General features: G+C 38.2%; 1 long non-coding RNA gene across 1 annotated transcript in view; it reads left to right on the forward strand.

Annotated features, from left to right (window-relative positions):
• The window catches only part of LOC124904447 (uncharacterized), a 90138-nt gene extending 85852 nt beyond the window's left edge, over positions 1-4286 (forward strand). The window contains exon 2 of the long non-coding RNA XR_007066704.1: positions 3619-4286. This is a non-coding gene — a long non-coding RNA (uncharacterized LOC124904447). The remainder of the gene's footprint in view (positions 1-3618) is intronic.
• Positions 4287-6466: the final 2180 nt, after the last annotated feature.

The raw sequence follows: 6466 nt of genomic DNA on the forward strand, positions 1-6466 counted from the left end.
TCTGCTCGGGTCAATCATATAGTGCTGTATACTTGTGTTGTGATGTCAGACTTTCTAGAAATGGTCAGGTTTGTACACAAAGGAAGGCAGTCAGCAGTTTGGATTACAGTGACCACATGGATATAGTGATCTTAGGTCTGATCTCAACTGTTGTGGATACTCAACAAATAGGTAAGAATTGCTGCAGGTATTTTTGGAAATAGTAATATTCCATCGGAAAAGCAATATAATTGTCTATTTGACCTCCTATAGGAGGTCTACCTGGCCTGAAACAGTACTCCCAAGCAGCAGCTACAGGTGGGGACAAAGTCTGGCTCTTTGGTGAAACATGTGGGAAGACCCATGGCATCATCATTCAAGCAAGCTAGGGTGTCAGGGGAGGGTTGAACAAGTAAATCATGATGGAAAGGTTTAAGATATGCAAACATCTTGGGTGTTAGTGGAGAAAGCTTCAGCTTAGAAGATACACAAGTATCCAGAGATTCACCTGTGATGATCAAATACCCAGCCTGGAGCAACATGAGTAATTCCAGATCCCACCTGTGGGAACAAGCTACTGAATTCATTGTTAGTGTACTATAGGCCAAAGTCTACAGGAACTATTAGAAATTATAGGCCAAAAGTCTCCAAAACCAGCATTTGAGGAGAGTTGGCACAGGTAGTCTGAAAGTCCTCCCTGGTGACTAGGCTTTTTTTTTTTCTGTTTTTCTTTCTTTATTTCTTTTTTAAAGATATCGTGAATTCAATCTCTTGAGAGTCCTGCCTATTTTATTCTGTCTCACTGACTTTGAACTTTAGTGCATAAATAATACTCATATTGATCCTAGAGTTTCTTTCTGTATGTGATTTTGCTCTTGTTTTTCTTTGCCTATCAAAGACAAGATTGTTGAAATGTTCCATTCTTTATGTGTAAAGTTTAACTCTTTCATAACCCCTTCTACTTCACTTAAAAATAGACACTATGATCATTATCAGTCTCTAGAGTATATACTGAAGTAGGTTTTTTAAAATTTGTATTTTGTTTTTAATTGATACATAATAATTGTACATACTTACAGGGTACAGTATGATGTTTATAATACCTATATACATTGTATAATGATAAAATCAGTATCATTAGTATGTCTATCACTTCAAACATTAACAATTTATTCATGGTAAGAGTATTCAAAATCTTCTCTTCTAGCTATTTTGGATTATACAATGCATTATTGTTAACTATAGTCACCCTACTGTGCAAAAAACCATCAGAACATATTTCTCTTATGTAACTATAACTTCCTACCCATTGAGTAACCTCTTCTTATCATCCCCCCATTCCTCACCCTCCAACCTCTGGTAATCACTATTCTACTCTCTACTTCTATAAGATCAACTTTTTTAGATTTCACATAGGAGTGAGATCATGCAGTATCTACCCTAGAAGTGGTTTCTTTAAAGTTGCCTTTCATTAGTTAATAATAATAATGTATCAGTATTGGACTATTCATTGTGACAAACATATCATAGTAGTGTAAGATATGCAAGATGAAAATAATAGAGAAAACTGGTATGTGCAGGGGGAATGTATATGAACTCTCTGTAATATCTCCTCATTTTTTTTTTTGGTAAGTCGAAAATTTTCAAAATAGAAATAATTAAAGCAGAAAAAGCAGCTGGCTATTCACTTAATATAACCCCAGTCAGTTAGGGCTAAAGGGTGAATCATGTAGGAATCTTGTCAGGGCTGCAGAGATAAGCCCTTAGAGCTTCCTAAGTTCACAGAGGCTGTGTTGGGCAGCAGTCCTGGGACTAGAGGGATGAACTATTTGGGATATTTGAGATATTTCTATTATTTGGGATATTTCTATTATAAGCCTAGTAGATTCCCATTTGGATCACTAGCCTCTTCCTGCTGCTGCCTCCCCAAAGACATCATTCTCAGGAAGCACCATCCTGCCCTATTTCACTCCAGAGCCCTGAACTGAAATCAGTTCAAAGCAGCTTCCATTATCCTTGCTTTTTAAATTTCTCATGACTTTATCTCTTGATCCCAGACATGACCTTTTATTTTTACTGGCCTGTCTCTTTGCTGAATTTTCAACTCTGGCCCAGTTTCTGCTGCTTCATTTCATCCTAACCCTTCTTTGGGCAGAAATATCTACCCCCATATTCCTTTTAGACTGTTGGTTTTCTGCTTCTTCATTTCATTCTACCTACCCTTTGGCCAGAAATACCTACCCCAATACCCTCTCAAATTGTTAATTTTTGGCAAAAGATTACTTTTAGACTGTTGGTTTTTTGATGATGATGAATATCACAACACTGTTTAAAGACAAATGACTTTATACTTAAAAGTGGAAGAGTCAGAGCTGGTGCTGAGTTGTTTTTCTTTTGAGAAACCTCTATTTCTGACACCTCCTCCTCTACTAGGAGCTGAATGTTACCTTGTGTGTCTATGTATTCAGGAACCAATGATGTTGACCCATTAGATTTGCCTCCTAATTTGTACCTAACTCTTCCTCTCCACTTCACTATTGAAAATATTTTCAATTACAGCCTAATTTCTTTTTCTTTTGAATTTTTTCTTTGGTCAATGCCCTATGCATATTATTTTTAATTGATATCCAGTTATTCTGGGCACATGAGGGACTTATAATTTCCTACTTCCTTGAAGCTAGGCATGGCCAGGTAACTTGCTTCAGCCAATAAAATGTGAATAGAAGGGATACATGTCACTTTCTTGTAGGAACATTTATTTGCCAGTGTATGAGTCTTCTAGCTTCTCTTCTGCTGTGGTGATCATGGGAACATGTGTTGATATGGAGGTGCCATAAGATCAGAGCAGCCTAGAGTACTGACTCAACACGTGGAGGACAGCTGCCCTGGAGAGTTGCCCAGACATGCAAGGGAATTTGTATGAATGAGTAAGTTTTGTTGTGTTAAAAAATAATGAAGATTGTGGGAATGTTTTTACTACTGCATAGCCTAGAATATCTTGACTATTATTGTTGAAAAGTAATCTCAAGTGTATAATACATTGTGAGTAATTGATGATATCTGAGGGTATTACCTCTTCCAGAGTATTTCCATTGTGATAGGTGACCCCAGGGAATAAGATATCTTAACTGAGAGGAATGAACTACCTATGATGGAGTGGAAGACCCTTGGGCAAATTAGAGAAGATGACATTTTGAGATAAAGCAATCTTTCTTTGTTCTCTAATCATACCATGATGTTGTCTGGCCAGATTCTTTTTCAAATACACATTTTAGGAAGTATAATTTGTGACAAATGCAGAAGCTGTGAGATCTAGCCTCTTGTAATACGATGCCTCTTCTAACCCGTTCTGAATACGTGATGTTGTAGGTCACTCATTGGGTCCTCAAAGTACCTAGTGTCTAATTTTTACACAGCTTGGAATGTCCTCTTTTGTGATTAATAATAATAATTCCTTTCTATTTTTTTCTGGCTATGATCCAGGCTTTAATATATGTTTTTGCTATTCTGTTCAACTACCCTGTGAGGTATTACTTCCAAAGGTACATGGTTATGAAGTGATAGAAGCATGAATTGAACTCAGATCCTCTTGAGAGTATATGTTCATTTCACCATGAGGTCTTTCTTCTCTCTCCTTAGGTGGAACTCACATTTCTTCCAATTTAAGCTGCACCTCCTCAGTGATGTGGCCCCCCTAATAGTCCTCTACACAGTGACCCCTCCTCCTTTGGAATCGTTATTGTCATTTGGAACCATAGTAGCTTGTCTCCAAAGATGGCCTTCCAGTAACTCATGCTTCCTGATGATCAGGCCCTAAATAGGTTGTCCTTGTGACTTCCATCTTGACCCATAGAATGTGGTGGAAGTAGCATTGGATGACGTCCAAGGTTAGTTCATAAAAAGCCTTGTGGATTCTTCCTCAGCCTCTAGAAACACTTGCTCTTGGAGCGTATGCTTTGAGGAAATCCAAATGTCATATGAGATGCCTGAGACCACCTATCTCAGACTATTGTGGGAGAGACTACTGTGCTGTGAAGAAGTACAAAGTAGCCATGTGAAGATACCATACGGAGAAAGACAGATGCCTAGGTAGCCCCTAGCTGTGCCAGCCATCCCATCAGAATCACCACACATAAGAGTAAAGGAATCATTGTGGATGTCCAGCCTAGTCAAGCCTGTAGATGATTCCAGTTCCAGTTGCCATCTGTCAGTAACTGCCTGAGACCCAAGACAAGAACCACCCAGCTTAGCCCAGTAAATCCACAGAATCACGTGTTATCATGATAATAAATTGTTTTTTTAAGCAACTAAGATTTGGAGTTTATTTTATCACAATAGGTATAATAAGCAGAAAGTTGCTGTATACTGTCCTCCCTCCCTACCTCTGGTACACTGTAATATCTGTGGACTGCTATTGTATTTTTGAATAATTAATAATTTCTATAATTGATCCATTGGCATCATCTCAGTTGAAGGCTTTCTGGGAGCTTTTCTTATTCAAGATGAATCCTCTTACTTTCTAGCTTAGTACCTGGAATATGGTAGGACTTCAACAAATGTTTGTTAATTGATTAATAAGCTCCTTGAGGCCAGCAACTGTTATTTCTACCTTTATATTTCCTATAATGTCTAGCACAGAGTTTTATTGTAGACCTTCAAAGATGTTTGTTAGTAAGGCATATGTCAATCATCATGTTCCAACATACTCTAACAAATGATTGATTCCTTTCGTAACGTGTTTCACAAAAATCCCTTCCTTGCTCTATCTCCACACTCTAGGCTTTAGCCTTGTGTGGCCATACACCTTAATCCATTCATTTAATTGTGCTATTCCCTCTGCTTGGAATGTTCTCCCCACCTCCACCCTGCCCATTCTACTTTGTGAAAACCTATTCATTCTGCAAAATTCAGCTAAAAGATTGCCTTTCCTTTAAACCTTCCCTTCCCTATTACAACACAACAATAATCTCTTTTCTTGAATTAATGTTACCTGTTGAGTACTTACCCCATGGCATTTCACTTACCACTTGTCATTGTCTCTCTTAGCCAGTGAGCTTTTCAAGGATGGAGGCTGTAGCTTATTTAACTTTAGCTTACCAGCACAATAAATGGCACAAAGCAGATGGTCAATAACTGACTATTGGATGAATGAATACATTACAAGGAGAGAACACGCATGTGAGAGATAAGAAACAAACATAGTGTTGAGTGCTTTGTCACCGCAAAGTGCTATTAATATACAATTGGCATCAACTCCCCTTGCTGCACCTGCCTATCTCATGCCTTTAATCTTTCACCACAAAGCCAACCGCCCTTCTTTAATCAATGCTGTTGCCTTTCTCTGAACCCTCTCTAGTTTGTACATTTTTATTTTTTTGGTCCTGAGATGCCTGAAGCCTCTTCATATTCAGCCCAAAATAGCACTGACCTTTCAGCTGCTATATCACCTGGCAGCTCATATCTAATTTCCTTTTGCAAGAGCCTCACTCACTTGCTTTAGCATTTCTGCTTTCCAGGTTTCTCTCACTGCTTGCTGTGTTGTTGATTGTGTTTTTCCCTCAGAGAATCTGGTTTCCATTTTTCTCTGGTTTGAACTCTACCTGGCTATTTATTCCTTTTCCCTTAGGCATTCAGTGGTGCATAATGTGGGGAGGTTGGGAAATGGGAGCCACTACCCTTTGATGATTTGTCTTCTGTGGGGGAGCCCACCTAAGACCTAGAAAATAGTGCTGTCCTAGCTCATTCTGCCTGCTCCTCAACAAATTGTTGTCATTAGCTGCTTTTCCAGCCTTCCCATGGGGTCAGAGGAAGCATTTCATGGGATTGGGATTTTGTTTGTTTATTTTTATCTTTTTGCTTTATTTTGGTTTTCCTTCCTTCCTTCCTTCTTTCCCTCCCTCCCTCTTTCCTTCCTTCCTTCCTTCCTTCTTTCCCTCCTTCTTCATTTCCTCCTGCTCTCTCCCTCTCTGTTTCTCTTTTATGTCTTTCTTTATTTTTCTATTCGAATCATACACATTCCAGATTACACGAAAATGAACCTAGGTGACATACTAAGGAAATTATTTCTCAGCATTTCTTAGAGGTATCTTTTTCAAGGCCCAGCCCCAGACTCTAGCCTACATTATTTTCTACAAAATGGTTTTCCATAGAGAAAAATATGAAGGTACGAAGGGGAGAGATGTCACTATCTCCTCCTTACCTCCTGTGAACTGAAAAAGGCCTTTTCTAATATGGAACTCTGTGTATGTCTCAGGAACTGAAATTGTAACTCAAATTTAAACAAGCAAGGAAACTATAAAATTAAACAACATACGTAATTATAAAAATCACTGCTTAAAAAGTATATAGGTTCTAGAATATTCTCTATATTTTTATGCTATTACACTTACCTATACAGTTTCTTCAGTTTAGACTAACTTTGCTCATCTTCTTGCTTTATTGAAATTCTACTTATCCTTCAAAACATCATTCAGATGCCACTTCCTCC

The sequence above is a fragment of the Homo sapiens genome, chromosome 1 (assembly GCF_000001405.40).
Source record: "Homo sapiens chromosome 1, GRCh38.p14 Primary Assembly".
NCBI lineage: Eukaryota > Metazoa > Chordata > Mammalia > Primates > Hominidae > Homo > Homo sapiens.